Genomic DNA, 17,784 nt, shown 5'->3' with positions numbered 1-17,784 from the left:
CAACTTGCCTCCTCTGTTGACTTTTTCAGTACGTGGTATAAGGAGGTTATTTATAAGAATATTAAAGTACCTTGTTAGGAAAACACCTATAGTTGAGCAGTGGGAACATTCAACTCAACCTTTTATTGCTGATCACTTTTCCTTGAGAAGCTCTTCTTCAGCATTTCTTTGGTAGGGTCGTTGGGTAGGTAAAAATTATTTCTAGATAGCTGGTCAGGGTGTCACAAGGACCAGGGCCACTAGGGATCTTACCACAGAACCAAGGACTGACTAGAGAAAGTGGACTCAAGTCATCCATGGAGATGCCTAACAGTTGCAGCCTCCAAAACAAAGAAGCCAGAGGCTGACTGAGAAGTGGGGTCAGGCAGGTTGTGTCATGAAGGACAGGATCCTTTTGATGGGAGAGAGTTGGCCATGGTTGAGTATTCGGAAAGTCCAACAGGAAATCTGAGTGGCAGGAGACATACTACGAAAGTAGATAATTACTGAGCTCTACTTTATTTGAATATCCAGTATTTTTAACTTTTTATTTTCTCGTAGAGACTGGGTCTCCCTGTCACACAAGCCAAAGGGTCGTGGCGCCATCACAGCTTCCTGCAGACTCTAACTACTGGGCTCAAGCAATTCTCCTGACTCAGCCTTTTGAGTAGCTGGGATTACAGGCATGAGCCACCATGCTGGCTATTTTTAGGTTTTAAAGTGGGATCTGACATGTGACTCCACTGATTACAATTAATATCAGTAAACTTGAACAACTAGATCTTAAGTACCTTATGATAGAATGCAAGAGGTGGTAACTAGTACTGTCTAGGAAGTATTCCTACTGGAAGAATGGAACATAAGTCTGATCAAGCCTCCAGGTTTAACTGCAGTCTATGGGATATAGGGAAGAATAACACATTAACGCCAAGTATGCAGTTAGCCAATTTCAGAATGTGGGAAAATCTACACAACAAATGATTGTTTCTCTTCTCAACATCACAACAAACATGTTGTAAAATGGAAATAGTGAAAATAAAGTTAAGCGGATTAAACTACTACATCAAATAATCTCACTTTTTACTTATGTATTCAGACCAGAAGGGAGTTAAAAGAAGATGTTCTATGATAAACTGGGCCTTTTGGTGGGCTTCTAGCCCTTGCCAAGACAACCTGTGAATGGCTCCACCTGCCCCAAACCCAGGACAGCTGTTTGGAGCTTCTCCCACGGATGTTTGTGAGAATGACAAGCTGCCTGCCCCTCTGCTAGTAGGTCTCATTTTGTCTGGTCTTCTTTTTGGTAGCCCTCTTGAAGAGAGAGAACTCTGGGGGAGTCAAGTGTTTTCATCCAAATCTATCGCAAAGTGGAGAAATCTTTAGACAATGATGAACCCTAGCTTTGATAGAGAAGATTTGTCAATTTTACTTCAGTGACTAGAAATATGATTTAGATGCTGCAGGATCATAAGGCAAAGACAATAGGGAAAGATACTCTTTCGATGGTTTCAGCCAAGACCCATGTACGCGGGCTTGGATGAATCAAAATGGGCTCTCTGTTATGAATCTCTGGGACTTCCCCTTCCCTTCGCATCCTCATTTCAGCTCCTTTCTTCAACTCCACACTAGTCCCAAATCTCCTGTAATTATGTCTTCATCTTACACTACTCAGTCTTAAAACTCAAAATATCTCCCGTGAATTGATAAAATTCATCCTTTGGCATATAGTAATCCTTTAATCTTAACAGAAGTGGAATTTTTATCCTTTTTATGCTTAAGTACTGGAAACACTGTAGTGGTTACAAGGAAATATTTTCTGATATATCTCCTAAGACACATTTTAAAATGCTGTCTTACTACATATGAAGAACATATTTCTCTATTCTTTTGTATTTTCACTGAGTTATGTAAATACTATATGAAAAAAAAAACTTGCTTTATTTCTCTGTATTTACAACTTCCTGAGTAAAATTCCTGGCTTTGAGAGTGCATATTTTTGTGTTTAGGCTTTTAGACCAGCTGCCAAAGGCCAATGTTGTTCTCTTGTGATGCCTTTTTGGCGTGTTACATAACATTGAGCAGCATTCCTCAGCCAATCAGATGACAGCTTATAATTTATCTGCGTGTATAGCCTCAAGCATTTTCCTGCCTACTCCCTGCAGCTCAGAAGTGGTAAATGAGTTCACCAAAAAGGTAATGAGATCTCTCATTTTTATTCCCTGGGGAACAGAGTCCTCACTTTGAACCTGAAATTCAGGATATTAACTCAAAGGAACCACTTTTTTTAAGACGCACACTTTAATTACACTTCTGAAGTGGCAGTTTCATTAATACTATTCTAGGGATTGTAGAAGGTAGAAGGTGTATGAGAAGGTAGGTTATTAAATAGGAAATTGAGAGCAGTGAGTCACTTCTCCTTTCCCATCTAGGAGAGAAAACACTAGATTGACTATACCACAGAGAGATAAGAAAGTGGTGTGACGTAATAGAAAAAAAAATCTGTTCTTTGGAGTTTGACAAGCTAAGATTCAACTCTCAGTCTCATCACTGAGGGATGTGTAACCTGGGGCAACGATTCCAAGCCAAGATTTCCTCATCTCAACAATGGCAGTAGTGATAAGGCCCAGCTCCTCTGGTCATTACTGACACTTCTTTGGTGGTTTGGATAATATGAACACTCATGGCTCCACACATATTGCCTTTCTCTGTCAATCGGGGCTCACAATTGGCATTCAGGGAACTACTTGGCTACTATTTTGTCTCTGCCACTCGAATGAGAAAACTAGTAAAACATTCTAGAATATCCTAATGGAGCTACAATGTACCTAATAAAAAGACCCCAGCTCTCTCCGAAGATCACCCAGAGAGCAATCCTGAGGCCAGGCAATGCATGGAGAGGTACTGCACTTAGAAGAGCAGAGATTTTCTCTCCAGCTGCCTCCTTCCTTCACAAAAGACCCTCAGAGAATGTCTGCTTCCCAAGTTTAAAATACTTAACAAGTGAATTTCACAAGTTTTTATCCATTGGGTGCTTTATAAATTTAGAGAATATATATCCTTACCCCAAACATCATATATGAGTTGCTTGAAAATTATCCTATTTTTAAGGATGTGACCATCGATATAAAATGTTAGCTATTAAGCTAAGCTATAAATTATAACTTTAGCCCACTGATTATAAGTATTTTAAGATACGTGCCCTAAATGCTGTTGAAAAGATCGTAGTTTTTTCTTAGAGAAAACTGGTTCATATCTTTCTACATCTACTCTGATTTTTTCTTAGAATTCTGAATTTCATGTTTTTTCACTCCAAGATTCATAGATGAAATATGACTTATAGCTATGCCAAATGAAAAGAGCACCCTATTTTTCCCTTTTGTGTTACAGGTTTCTATTGTACAATTTCTCATTGAAAACTGCCTCAGCATATTTGGAGAAGACATCACTTCCCTCTTGGAGAAGAGCTCAATGACTTGTGACAACAGTGATGCTTCAGGTACCTTGAAAAATTCAGTTGGTTTTGATGAGAAACAGTGAGTGGGGATGCCAGGAGTCATGAGAGATGCTTAGGCAGTGGCTGTCCTGGAGTCCAGGGCAAGCCCCAAGCACAATGATGCAGGACCCAGGACTCCATCTGCTCATTCTTCATAAGGTTGGCTCACAGGTCATCTGCTGAGAAGGTCACCTGCTCCTCCTTCACTGTGCTCACTGAATGAGGACATTCCAAGATCCCAGCTCCTCCCATTTGAACTTTCCTCTTCCTAATCCCATGCATCTATGTTTGAGAAAATATTCCCACATGATTTTCTATCTTCCCATTTCTTCCATGTTGTATTACTTTATTATTATTAATAATAAATGCACATATTGTGTATATGCATATTAGTCTGTTTGGTGTTGCTATAAAACAATACCTGAGGTGTGGTCATTTATAAATAAAAGAATTTTATTTGGCTTAAGGTTGTGCAGATTTTACAAGAAGCATGGCATCAGCATTTGCTTCTGGTGAGGGACTTAGGAAGCTCTTACACATGGCAGAAAGTGAAGGGAGAGCAGGTGGGTCACATGGCAAGAGAGGAAGCAAGAGAGATGGGAGGAAATGCCAGACACTTTAAGCCATCAGTTTTCCTGTGAACTAATAGAGCAAGCCCTCACTCATTACTTTGGGGAGGGCACCAAGCCATTCATGAGGGATCCACCCCCATGACCCAAACACCTCCCACTTAGCCACACCTATCACATTTCAGATCAGGTATCAAAAAGAGATTTGGAGTGAACAAATACTCAAACTATCTCATTATGTGATGATTTGATACATTCCTAAAATATAATCAAGATAGGTGGAATATACATCATCATTGGGGCTCACAACTGATATTCAGGGTGCCACACCCTGATATTTCTCTGTTCAGGGATATTTTTCTCTTTCATATTGGCAAAGAGATTTTTTTGTAATTTGGCTGTTGAATTTCTTACTTTTCCAAGTCATTGCTATTAGTCATCTCGTTCTCAAGCTCCATTGTTTTTTTCTTTCAGCACTTCGCAAATGTCTTCTCACTCCCTCCTGGCCTGTATGGATTCCATTGTCACTCTGTTGCCAGATAAATTGGAGCTCTTTTCTATGTTATTTGCTTCTTTTCTCTTGCTGCTTTTAACATCCTCTCTTTGTCCTTGACTTTTGAGAGTTTAATTATTGTGTGTCTTGGGGTTGTCTTGTGTGGGTCAAATATGTTTGGTGTTTTCTCACTTTTCTGTACCTAATACTCAGATCTTTCTCAAGTTTGGGAAATTTTTTGTTATTTCTTTGATTAAGGCTTTCTACACCTTACTTTTGCTTCACTACTTCTTGGGCAGCAATATTTCTTAGATTTGGTCTTTTGAGGTAATTTTGTCTTGTAGATGATTTTCATTCCTTTGTATTCTGTTTTGGTTTTTTTTCACCTCTGACTGCATAATTTCAAATCGTCTGTCTTTGAGCCCACTGATTCTTTTCTTTGCTTGATTCATTCCACTGTTGAGAGCCTGTAGTGAATTTTTCAGTTCAGCAAATATAAATGTATTTCTCTGTTTCAGGATTTCTCTTTGATTTTTTTAAAATCATTTCAATATCTTCGTGAAATTTATTGGTAAGTTTTAAGTAGCTTTTCTGTGCTATCTTAGAGATTAATGAGTTTGCTTAAAATTGCTATTTTGCATTCTTGATCAGAAAGCTCACATATCACCATCTCATTAGGGTCAGTCACTGGTTCCTTGCTTTGTTCATTTGGAGAGGTCATGATTCCCTGTTTGCTGCTGTTTCTTGTGGATGTATGTCTGTGCCTTTGCATTGATGGATTGGTTATGTATTCTAATCTTCTCCGTCTTGTTTTGGCTTATATTCAGTATGCTTGCTTAGAGATTCTTTGTAATTTGACTGTTAAATTTCTTTTTCCCCACAAGATTGTTGCCTTCTTTTTGGCACTAGATGACACCTTAAGCCCAGGTTTGTCTTGGCTCTAGCAAGCAATCAGAGCACTGCCTATCCTGAACATGGAAAGTCCTAAAGGGAATATTAAGGCTGCGTGGAAAGACTGGCTAAGGGTTCGTATCCAGGGTCCCTGTGCAACATACATCCTATAATGTGGTGCTGCTGAACCACGACTCTGATTTAACGTCTGCTTTGGTGGAGTCACAAAGCAGAGTTTCTAGGGCTGGGGATAGTAGTCCCACTTCCTCCCTTTGTCTGCAACTGTCCTCAGGGATATTTCTTTCCTCAGGCACCCTAATGCTTCCCGTGGGGTGAGGCAGAGACTGGCCTCCTGCCAGGGAACCCAAGATGATGAGGAAGCTGGTGTCCACCTCAATCTCATGTTTTTCAGTGTAGAAACCATGATTCATGGGAAATTTTCTGCATTTTGGTGCCAGATAGATTAGGGGTTGGGGAGGGTCATCACAAACATGAAAATCCAATATTCTTACCATTTGCTCAGATGTTTTTCACTTCTTTGTGGCTCTGAGAACTAATGCATTCTCACATTTGGTTCCTGAGAGTGAAGCCAGCTTGAATCTATCATGGCATTTTTAAACCAGGAGTCTGTTGTACTACATTTTATTGTATTGTATTGTGTATATATTTACTGATGCAATAAAAATTACTCTGCAACTCGATATCCTAGGCAACCATTTTATTTGTTCATAACTCACATTAGAGTTTTGGTGGAGGCTCAGCTGTGCAGTTCTTCTTCTGGTCTTACCTGGGTCCTCATGCATCGTCAGTCAGCTCGCAGCTCCACTGAGGCTAACTTATGTGTCTATTGGTTAGTGTTTGCTCTCATTTGGTCCTCATGTCTTTAATAAGCCATCTCAGCCTTATTTGTTTGGAGGAAGAAGTGTATACAGCAGCAAGAAAGGGTAAATGCTGTTCAAGCCTCTGTTTGCCTCACATTTGCTAATGTCACGTTGATCAATGTCCAGAGTCACATGGTCAAGCTTAGAGTCAATGCAGGAGATGGCACAAGGGATGTAAAGACAAAATACAAAGCTATAAAACAAAGTGTAATTCATTGCTATTGAGAGCTATTAGTGTAATCTGCCACATATAATAATCACAACTCAAGGCAGCATCACTACTACACACATCCTTTTACTGATCAGTTTATAACCCTCCATTCTTTAGCATTTCCTAAAGAGTATTCCGAGTGGAAGGAAATATCTTTAAAATAATAACAAACTTTTTTCTCAGGTATTTCTTGCTCCCATCCATCTTCCTTTATGGTAATTGGGCCCTTAGCTCAAAGAAGAGAAGTTATAGCAGAAATATGAGAAGAAAAGAGCTCTTGTGGCTTGTGAGTTTGGAGCTCTGCACATTCATACAGTTTCTTGTACCTCATCATAGAACAAATCAGGACAATTATTCCATCAGCCCAAGAATAGTATGGAAGTAAAGAGAACCAGTGGATTTGAATGAGACATGTCTCAGCAACAGTTGTACAGACCAATTGTTCGGGACCGGATAGTGGTTAGACCATCTCACAGATGCCAACTTATGTAGATGACAGAGAGGACCAGATAAGTGCCACTCTACTATTCTACAACTCTCTAATTCCTTGGCACAATTAGACTCCAGAACACACCCTCATGGGGAAAAAGAAGAAATCTTGAGGTTCTACAATCTGAGAAGAAAGGATCAAAGTAGAAATTAAATGAGCTACTTAAAATGTGGAACAGTACATTTCTTACATATCTCAGTTTATAGAGTTAGATTGGTGCCACTACATATGGGATCCTTGATCCATGCATGGTTTTCCTAGAAAGGGTTCCCTGGTCACATTGGCAAAATCCTGTGTTTTTGTTTAGGAGAGTCAAAATATCTATTAACATCTTAAAGTCGTAGAGAAAACTCGCAGTATTTTCTATTTTCACATGTATTTGACCTTGCAGACACTTTTGTAGTAACCCCATTAATTACTATTCCTGAGAACATACATGAATAAATATTGCTCTAAATTTATTTCTTAAATCACAGATTTTACCATTTCATTTACCAACTCAAAACCTCTAATGGATCTCTGCTTTTTTTTTTTTTCCAGTAAAATGTCCTTTTTAAGATCCTCCACAATGCAAACTGCTCTTTTGATCTAATTTTAACTTTGCTATTTCCCAGTGTAGATCTTTTGCTTTAGTAAAGGTCAGACACTTTACTCTTCCCTAAACAAGACTTACTCTATTTTCTAACTATAATCCTCCAGTCCGCTTGGTCTCTATATATCCACACACAGGGTAAGCTATTTGGGCTCTTTTCACTATGTTTTCCCTGAGCATTCCAGCTCAAATTAATTGTTCCCATAGAACACATGAGCACCCTACCCCAGTAGGCAATGGCTTACATGCTGCTTTGTACCACTAGGAATATATTAGTATGTTTATATATTGTCCAGAACAATAAAGTTGTTGTGGTAAAGGACTATATCTTATATTTTGTTATTTGTTTTAGGTTATTTTTACTTTTTGTTCTAAGAATGTTACTTAAAATATATTACTTTTAAAGGCTTGCTCAATGTTTGGTAAAAATATATTAATAAATATGTGCACATTTCTAAGAATGTAGAGATTTTACATGGATTAGTAATGTCTGTATACTTTAAAATGGAAGAGGTAGAAGAGCATATATAAAATTTCAGTGAGTGGTAATACATTAATTTGACTAATTTAATGTGTTTTAAAAACATGACTTAGCCTTTATTTATTCACAGGGACATACTGGAATATAATATATGTATTCAGCCTCCAAAAAATGGAAATATTGATGTGGTGTATTTGGGGATAATGGCATTTTTGTGAAAAATCTTTTAAATATGTTTGCATTTGTGTGAAAAGAATTTTAGACTATCTTATCCACAATTGCAAAATACAACAGGCAAAAAATATGCTTTGCAAGCATCTGTGAGTTTTTGAGTTGGGAAGATATACAGAATTCTCTGAAATGTGAAAAGGAGATAGAAAAAAAGGAAGTAAAGAAAAGCTGAGATTCCATCGATTTGTCAGTTGCAACTCATAGAGGAGATTCTTGCCATATGGAAATACTGTACTTAGTAAATGATAGTTTTCCCCTCAGGGTATTCAAGCACAGTATCTCCTCGAGAAAGGTAATTTAGTTGTTAATTTTAAAGAAAGATCCTAGGGACTGATAAACTGTAAAAGGACCCAACAGTGTAATCTAGAGTGAGTCAAAGGCAATTAGACTGGCTGATAGTGGCCTTTACCACAGCTGGGAGTAAGATTGTGTAATCATTAATCAGTCTGTATGTACTGTTGTAATTAAAATTAAAGGTTTCCAAAAACAGGGGAATGGTACATAAAATGGATATCTTATTTTATTACAGAGGGAAAACACTCATAGGCTACCTGTGTCAGAAAACGAATTTTCATCGATGGTGGGGATTAATTACTATGATATCTTTATTGAGTGGAATATATATGCACACACACTCAGTTACATAAAAGCAGCCTGTAAGTCTTTGGGGGATGGAGTATGTAATGCAAAAAGCCACCTTTTGTTCAGAAAGCACTGGGCACTGACTTTCGCCGAGCACTGCCTTTCTACACTTCTTTCCACGTTGCCAAATGAGCCAGTACTCTCAAGATCTGTAGTGAATGGTGATTGCATTTTCCATTTCTGTTTCATACTTTATTTGTCCATAATATTATTGGTACTATGAAAACACTGATTTCATTTTGGCCTTGGGCCTCAATGCCAGCATTAATTTGCTGGCTTTTAATCCTTTCAAAGAAGAAAACAGCATCTTGGACAAGTAAAACAAAATGCTGGAATATAAAATTGTCAAAAGAGAGTTATAATTTCCTAAAACAGAAAAAGAGAAACTATATTGTGAATTATTTTCACAAACATTAAGTTACAAATCCATTTGGGAGGTAATACGTGATTATCAGTATCTTAATAAACGTCACCCTATTAGTTCTGCAGCAAAGAGCAGAGCTCCATGGGAGTTCTGAAATAATTTGGATTGTCCACAGTGGGATTAGGGAATCTAGGAAGGACCAAAAAATGAGAAAAAGTATAGAAAACGAAGGTATATGGTGTAAATTACAAATTTACTCTATTTTCAATCTTTTTTCAGAAGGCTAACGATAGCTGAGAATGTAAGGGAAGGATCTCCAAAAATTCTTGATTAAAAAGAATGAGGTTAAATCTCGGCCATCTTGATCTTAGTGTCCAATATCACAAAACATAAAAGCGCCAGCAGTGAAACATTTGATTATTGCCCAGTATTTAATTAAGTAATACCTAATACAAATGTACAATACTCCTTATTTTATATGTCATTTCTAGATACTATGGCTTCTTTGTGAATAAGACTATTTAGTACTTACTCTTTCAACTATTAGCAAGTTTTGTCCAGTTCCCCACCTTTCCCAAAAAGCTTGTATAATTGGATACCTAAAAATAATCAACATGCTATATTTTCTGCTTTGTGATGTCAAGATTAGGCCAAGATTAAACCGTGCTTTATGCTACTCCTAATTTGAAAAATAATTGCATATTAAATAATCTAGATAATTGCCCAATTTAAACATTTTATATTATACTGTGCCCCACAAAGGATAAATTTAAAACTTTCTAAAGAAGGTAAATCCCCACTTTTCTATGCTATTACTTTTCATGCGCGTCCGTGTGAAGGGACCACCAAACAGGCTTTGTGTGAGCAACATGGCTGTTTATTTCATCTGGGTGCAGGCGGGCTGAGTCCAAAAAGAGAGTCAGCGAAGGGAGATAAGGGTGGGGCCATTTTATAGGATTTGGGTAGGTAAAGGAAAATTACAGTCAAAGGGGGTTTGTTCTCTGGCGGGCAGGAGTGGGGGTCGCAAGGTGCTCAGTGGGGGTGCTTTTTGAGCCAGGATGAACCAGGAAAAGGACTTTCACAAGGTAATGTCATCAGTTAAGGCAAGGACCGGCCATTTACACTTCTTTTGTGGTGGAATGTCATCAGTTAAGGTGGGGCAGGGCATATTCACTTCTTTTGTGATTCTTCAGTTACTTCAGGCCATCTGGACATATACGTGCCAGTCACAGGGGATGGCTTGGCTTGGGCTCAGAGGCCTGACATTCCTGCCTTCTTATATTAATAAGAAAAATAGAACAAAATAGTGTTGAAGTGTTGGGGCGGCGAAAATTTTGGGGGGTGGTATGGAGAGAGAATGGGAGATGTTTCTCAGGGCTGCTTCAAGCGGGATTAGGGGCGGCATGGGAACCTAGAGTGGGAGAGATTAAGCTGAAGGGAGGTCTTGTGGTAAGGGGTGATATTGTGGGGATGTTAGAAGAAACATTTGTCTTATAGAATGATTGGTGATGGCCTAGATACGGTTTGGGATGAATTGAGAAACTAAATGGAATAACAGAAGGAGAAAAACAGGTATAAAAGGTCTAAGAATTGGGACGACTCAGGATATCTGATTAGAGAGTGCCTAAGGAGATTCAGCATATTCCTGCCAGCAAAGATTATTTATTTACTTCAAGAGTTAAGAGTGGCAGTTTGGGGATAGCACCAGGAGATATTAGCTGTGATGGCTTGGAGAAACAGTGTAAACCGGCAGTGTAAACAAGAGCAGGGCATGTATGAGTAGTTGAGAACGGTGAATAGGAGTATGACTAGACAGAAGATAGTAGGGATGACAAGTTTTTTGGGGTGCAGTCTAAGTTGGTCTGGTGTCTGGAATGAGACTGGGGCCTAATAAAAAGGAGCGTCCATACAGGAGCTTAAATGGGCTGTACCTTGTAGCATTCTGAGGACAGGCCTGAATTCTGAGAAGGGAAAGTGGTAAAGGTATTGTCCAGTCCTTTTTAAGTTGGTGGCTGAGCTTGGTGAGGTGTGTTTTTAAAAGACCTTTAGTCCATTCTACTTTTCTTGAAGATGGAGGACCGTAAGGGATATAAAGGTTTCACTGAATACTAAGAGCCTGAAAAACTGCTTAGCTGATTTGACTAATAAAGGCTCGTCTGTTATCAGACTGTATTGAGGTGGGAAGGCTAAACTGAGGAATTATGTCTGACAGAATGGAAGAAATGACTGCAGTGGCCTTCTCAGACCCTGTAGGAAAGGCCTCTACCTATCCAGTGAAAGTATCTATCTAGACTAAGAGGTATTTTAGTTATCTGACTCAGGGCATGTTGAGTAAAGCTAATTTGCCAGTCCTGGGTGGGGGCAAATCCTTGAGCTTGATGTGTAGGGAAGGGAGGGGGCCTGAATAATCCCTGAGGAGTAGTAGAATAGCAGATGGAACACTGATAAGTTATTTCTTTGAGGATAGATTTCCACGATGGAAAGGAAATGAGAGGTTCTAAGAGACGGGCTAGTGGCTAGTACTATAGTATAACCTGCCTTTTCTGGTGTGTGGCGATTCGGCCTGGTGGAACCACCATCAATAAATCAAGCGTGATCAGGGTGAGGAACAGGAAAGAAGGAAACTTGGGGAAATGGGGTGAATGTCAGGTGGATCAGAGAGATACAGTCATGGGGGTCAGGTGTGGTATCAGGAATAATGTGGGAGGCCGGATTGAAGTCTGGGCCAGGAACAACAGTAATTGTGGGAGACTCAACAAAGAGTGAGTACAGCTGAAGGAGCTGCGGAGCAGAAAGTATATGCATCAGGTATGAGGAAGAAAATAGATTTTGGAAGTTATGAGAACTATAGAGAGTGAGTTGAGCATAGTTTGTGATTTTGAGGGCCTCTAAAAGTATTAAAGCAGCGGCAGCCGCTGCACACAGACCTGAGGTCTAGGCTAAAACAGTAAGGTCAAGTTTGGACAGAAAGGCTACAGGGTGTGGTCCTGGCTCTTGTGTAAGAATTCTGACCGCGCTAACCATGCCTAGGAAAGAAAGGAGTTGTTGTTTTGTAGAAGGTGCTGGGGTTTGAGAGATCAGTTGGACACAATTGGCAGGGAGAGCACGTGTGTTTTTTTGAGAATTATGCCAAGATAGGTAACAGATGAGGAAGAAATTTGGGCTTGATTGAAGTAATGGGGGCTGTCTGTGAAGCTTTGCGGCCGAATAGCCTAGGTAATTTGCTGAGCTCGATGGGTGTCAGGGTCAGTCTAAGTGAAAGCAAAGAGAGGCTGGGACAAGGGGTGCAGGGGAATAGTGAAAAAAGCATCTTTAAGATCAAGCACGGAATAGTGAGTTGTGGAGGAAGGTATTGAGGACAAAAGAGTGTACGGGTTGGGCACCACAGGGTGGATAGGCAAAACAATTTGGTTGCTAAGGCGCAGATCCTGAACTAACTTGTAAGGCTTATCTGGTTTTAGGACAGGTAAAATCGGGGAATTGTAAGGAGAGTTTATAGGCTTTAAAAGGCCATGCTGTAGCAGGCGAGTGATAAGAGGCTTTAATCTTTTTAAAGCATGCTGCGGGATGGGATATTGGCGTTGAGTGGGGTAAGGGTGATTAGGTTTTAATGAGATGGTAAGGGGTGCATGATCGGTCGCCAAGGAGGGAGTAGAGGTATCTTATACTTGTGGGTTAAGGTGGGGGGATACAAGAGGAGGATGCAAAGGAGGCTTTGGATTGGGAAGAAGGGTGGCAATGAGATATAGCTGTAGTCCAGGAATAGTCAGGGAAGCAGATAATTTAGTTAAAGTGTCTCAGCCTAATAAGGGAACTGGGCAGGTGGGGATAACTAAAAAGGAGTGCTTAAAAGAGTATTGTCTAAGTTGGCACCAGAGTCGGGGAGTTTTAAGAGGTTTAGAAGCCTGGCTGTCAATACCCACAACAGTTATGGAGGCAAGGGAAACAGGCCCTTGAAAAGAAGGTAATGTGGAGTGGGTAGCCTCTGTATTGATTAAGAAGGGGACAGGCTTACCTTCCACTGTGAGAATTACCCGAAGCTCAGCGTCCGTGATGGTCTAGGGGGCTTCCGAGGCGATCGGGCAGTGTCAATCTTCAGCCGCTAAGCCGAGAAGATCTGGGAAGGAGTCAGTCAGAGAGCCTTGGGCCAGAGTTCCAGGGGCTCTGGGAGTGGCTGCCAGGTGAGTTGAACCGTCCGATTTTCAGTGGGGTCTTACACAGATGGGACGCAGCTTAGGAGGAATCCCGGGCTGTGGGCATTCCTTGGCCCAGTGGCCAGATTTTTGGCACATGCAGCAAGCTCCTGTGGGAGGAGGTTCTGGAGGAATGCCTGGCCGCTGTGGTTCAGGTGTTTGGAAGTTCTTGTGTGCTGGAGATGTGGCTGGGGTTTGTCTCACAGTGAAGGCAAGGAATTGCAACTTTTTTCTGTTATTGTACACCTTGAAGGTTGAGGTTAATTAAGTCCTGTTGTGGGGTTTGAGGGCCAGATTCCAATTTTTGGAGTTTTATTTAATGTCAGGAGCAGATTGGGTAATAAAATGTATAGTGAGAATAAGACGGCCTTTTGACCTTTTAGGGTCTAGGGCTGTAAAGCGTCTCAGGGTTGCTGCCAAAGGAGCCATGAACTGGGCTGGATTTTTATATTTGATGAAAAAGAGCCTAAATGCTTCTGATTTGGGATAAAGAAAAGGAACATTAACCTTGACTATGCCTTTGGCTCCAGCCACCTTTTTAAGAGTAAATTGCTGGGCAGGTGGGGGAGGGCTAGTCACGGAAGGAAACTGTAAGCCGGACCAGGTGTGAGGAGGGGAGGTGATAAAAAGATTATAGGGTGGAGGAGCGGAGGCTGAGGAAGAATTGGGACCTAGCTCGGCCTGGCGAGGAGCAGCCTGGGGAGGAAGGGAGAGGTCAGATGGGTCTGTAGAAAAGGAAGATTAGAGAGACTCAGTGATGCTTGGGGTTGGTACTGAGGGGACAGGCGGGAGGGAAAGAAGGAAGATTTGGGACAAGTTGCACTGGGCACAGAGACTAGGAAGGGGCTGATGTGTAAAAGAATGCCTGGACGTCAGGCACCTCAGACCGTTTGCCTATTTTATGACAAGAATTATTTAGATCTTGCAGGATAGAAAAATTCAAAGTGCCATTTTCTGGCTATTTGGAACTACTGTCGAGTTTGTATTGGGGTCAAGCGGCATTGCAGAAGAAAATAAGGCATTTAGGTTTTAGGTCAGGTGTGAGTTGAAGAGGTTTTAAGTTTTTGAGAACACAGGCCAAGGGAGCAGAAGGAGGAATGGAGGGTGGAAGGTTGCCTATAGTGAAGGAAGCAAGCCTAGAGAAAAGAGAGAAAAACAGAGGGAAGGGGTTCGGGGGTTCTTACCTTCCAGAAAAGTGGGAAAAGGGGTTGGGGCGCAGAGATAAGAGGTCGGGGCACAGAGATAAGAGGTTGGGATGCAGAAATAAGGGATGGGGCGCAGAAATAAGGGGTCAGGGCATGGAAATAAGGGGAAGGGGCACGGAAATAAGGGGTAGGGGCACAGAAATAGGGGGTAGGGGCACGGAAATAAGGGGTAGGGGCACAGAAATAAGGGGTCGGGGCACGGAAATAAGGGGTTGGGACACTGAAATAAGGGATTGGGGTGCAGAGATATAAGAGGTTGGGGCACGGAAATAAGGGATTGGGGCACAGAGATACGAGGTTGGGGCACTTGTCCCTCCTCTAGAAAAGCGGGACTTGCCACTAAGAGTGAAGGAGAAGGGGTTGAGGGGTACTTGCCCCTCTCCCAGAAAAGCAGAGAAGGAGTAGAGACAAGGAGAGAAGGGGTTGGGATACTCGCCCTTTCCTCGGAAAGCAGAGAAGGGGTAGAGACAAGGAGAGAAGGAGTTGGGGTACTTGCCCCTTCCCCAGAAAAGCGGGACTTGCCGCTAAGGGTGAAGGACCAAGGCAGGCGTCCATGCGTGGTCTGACACCTTTGAAACGTGGGTGAATAGAGAGGCGTCCCTGCAATGATTAAACACCAAGGGAAGGCTGTCTTCCCAGTCCGTGACCGGCGCCGGAGTTTTGGGTCCATGGATAAAACATGTCTCCTTTGTCTCTATCAGAAAATGAAAGGAATTGAAATTAAGAGAAGGGAGAGATTGAAGTGTGGCGCCAAGATTGAAAGGAGAAAGAGGTTGAGGGATAGTGAGGGAGGTTGGAGAAGAGGGTAAAAAGAGGCCGCTTACCAGATTTGAAATTGGTGAGATGTTTCTTGGGCTGGTCGGTCTGAAGACCTAAGGTCATAGGTGGATCTTTCTCACGGAGCAAAGAACAGGAGTACAGGGGATTGATCTCCCAAGGGAGGTCCCCCATCCGAGTCACAGCACCAAATTTCATGCGCGTCCATGTGAAGAGACCACCAAACAGGCTTTGTGTGAGCAACATGGCTGTTTATTTCACCTGGGTGCAGGCGGGCTGAGTCCGAAGAGAGAGTCAGCGAAGGGAGATAAGGATGGGGCCATTTTATAGGATTTGGGTAGGTAAAGGAAAATTACAGTCAAAGGGGGGTTGTTCTCTGGCGGGCAGGAGTGGGGGTCGCAAGGTGCTCAGTGGGGGTGCTTTTTGAGCCAGGATGAGCCAGGAAAAGGACTTTCACAAGGTAATGTCATCAGTTAAGGCAAGGACCGGCCATTTACACTTCTTTTGTGGTGGAATGTCATCAGTTAAGGTGGGGCAGGGCATATTCACTTCTTTTGTGATTCTTCAGTTACTTCAGGCCATCTGGGCGTATATACGTGCAAGTCACAGGGGATGCGATGGCTTGGCTTGGGCTCGGAGGCCTGACATTACTCAGTATTTTGTTTCAGATAACATTCAAAATAAAAGATTTTGTTTGCTCAAAATACAGAAAGAACTAGCTGGAAAAGAAAAATAAACAACAATATTGACCTCAGCATAATGGCTACTTCTGTTGGGAGGAAAAGACAATATGACAGAAAAGAGATGGAAAAAAAAACTTCAAGCATATATGTATTATTTTCTTACTTTAAAAAATATTTTAAAATTCTAACATTATGCCATATGGTTCAATTACTAATAAAAAGTTATAGGCAATTTTATTACATGAATATCTACAACATACATGTGTATGCATGTATATGTATGTATGCACATATATATACATATATAAAACATCAGTAACTAAACAAGCAAACTACAGAAATTTTAATCACAACTTTATTTCTTAATACATGTTTTTGTGATTTCTCTATATTGCTACATATAAACACATAAACATTTTTCAGTTAGTAACTCAACCAGTAAACTACAGAAATTTTAATTGCAACTTTATTTCTTAATACATGTTTTTGTGATTTCTCTATATTGCTACCTGTAGATATGAGTCACTCAGTCTAGTTGATGTATGATAGTATTCTGTTACATGAATAATGCATTAATCTTTGCATGTATATATATATATATTTTAATAAAACTTCTTAGAGGCTTTCCTAGGTTAGTAGCTTTCAAAGGAACTGTTTTAAAAATCATTTTCGTCATTGATTTTCTCGGTTATTAAGTTGTGTTTTGTTTTTATAATTATCTTCAACTTTCTTACTGTTCTTTTCATTGCATCTAGCTTCCTGCATTAAATGCTTAACTACTTTATTTGTAATAAAGGTATTGAAACTTTTAATAACGTCCAGATATTGTTTTAGCTGCATCTCACAAATTTTGATTTTGCTTTTTATGTTTTTAGTATTTTAGTATTTTTCAGTCATTCAATCATTGTATTTTATAGTTTTCTTTGGGATTTATTTTTTTAAGCCATTTATTGTTCGGGCTTTTGTTAGGTTTTCTAAACTGTGACCCTTTTATTACTATTTGTAATAGTAAATTTCTAATGTAATTGTCCAGTGATCAGATAATATATTTTTAATAATTATGATTGTGACTGAGTATACAGTTAATTTTTTATGGTATATGTGATAATTTGATACATTCACATATTTGTAAAGATCAAATCAGTGTACTTGGGATATCTATCATGTTAAATATTTTTCTTTTCTTTATGCTAGAAATATTCAAATTATTCTCTTCTACATATTTTGAAATGTACAATAATATTGTCAATGATAGTCACCCTACCAGTCTATCTAACACTAGCTCTTATTTCTTCTATCAAACCATGTATTTGTACCCATTAATCAACTCTTTATCATCCCACCTATTACTCTGCTTTCCAGCTTCTGGTAACAATCTACTGCCTATCTTCAGAAGATTCACTTTTTGGCTCCCATGTATGAGTGAGAACATGTGATTTTTGTCTTTCTGTGCTTTGCTTATTTCAGTAAACATAGTGATCTCCAGTTCTATTCACGTTGCTGCAAATGACAGGATTTCATTATTTTATGGCTGAATATTTTTTCTTGTGATATCCAACATTTTCTTTATGCATTCATTCCTTGATGGACATTTAGGTTGTTTCCATATTTT

The 17,784-nt window shown here is 40.2% G+C and overlaps 1 long non-coding RNA gene across 1 annotated transcript, besides 4 other annotated features; it reads left to right on the top strand.

The window, feature by feature from the left end:
• Positions 1–2,086: 2,086 nt before the first annotated feature.
• LOC124900769 (uncharacterized) lies at positions 2,087–3,856 on the top strand. The gene is made up of 2 exons (XR_007058252.1): positions 2,087–2,169; positions 3,364–3,856. It is a non-coding gene; the product is annotated as an uncharacterized LOC124900769 (long non-coding RNA).
• Positions 9,775–10,349: an enhancer, noted in NCBI's record as "OCT4-NANOG-H3K27ac hESC enhancer chr4:120920606-120921180 (GRCh37/hg19 assembly coordinates)". NCBI's record gives its function as "activates a minimal SCP1, AML or CMV promoter by ChIP-STARR-seq in primed H9 embryonic stem cells {active_cell/tissue: H9 hESC(primed)}" and the evidence as "EXISTENCE:reporter gene assay evidence [ECO:0000049][PMID:30033119]".
• Positions 10,350–10,924: an enhancer, noted in NCBI's record as "OCT4-NANOG-H3K27ac hESC enhancer chr4:120920031-120920605 (GRCh37/hg19 assembly coordinates)". NCBI's record gives its function as "activates a minimal SCP1, AML or CMV promoter by ChIP-STARR-seq in naive and primed H9 embryonic stem cells {active_cell/tissue: H9 hESC(naive and primed)}" and the evidence as "EXISTENCE:reporter gene assay evidence [ECO:0000049][PMID:30033119]".
• Positions 10,925–11,500: an enhancer, noted in NCBI's record as "H3K27ac hESC enhancer chr4:120919455-120920030 (GRCh37/hg19 assembly coordinates)". NCBI's record gives its function as "activates a minimal SCP1, AML or CMV promoter by ChIP-STARR-seq in primed H9 embryonic stem cells {active_cell/tissue: H9 hESC(primed)}" and the evidence as "EXISTENCE:reporter gene assay evidence [ECO:0000049][PMID:30033119]".
• Positions 15,473–16,314: an enhancer, noted in NCBI's record as "OCT4-NANOG-H3K27ac hESC enhancer chr4:120914641-120915482 (GRCh37/hg19 assembly coordinates)". NCBI's record gives its function as "activates a minimal SCP1, AML or CMV promoter by ChIP-STARR-seq in primed H9 embryonic stem cells {active_cell/tissue: H9 hESC(primed)}" and the evidence as "EXISTENCE:reporter gene assay evidence [ECO:0000049][PMID:30033119]".

The sequence above is a fragment of the Homo sapiens genome, chromosome 4, assembly GCF_000001405.40.
Source record: "Homo sapiens chromosome 4, GRCh38.p14 Primary Assembly".
Taxonomy (NCBI): Eukaryota; Metazoa; Chordata; class Mammalia; order Primates; family Hominidae; genus Homo; species Homo sapiens.
The sequence above is the reverse complement of the archived record's forward strand: the minus strand, read 5'-3'. Positions and strand labels throughout refer to the sequence as shown.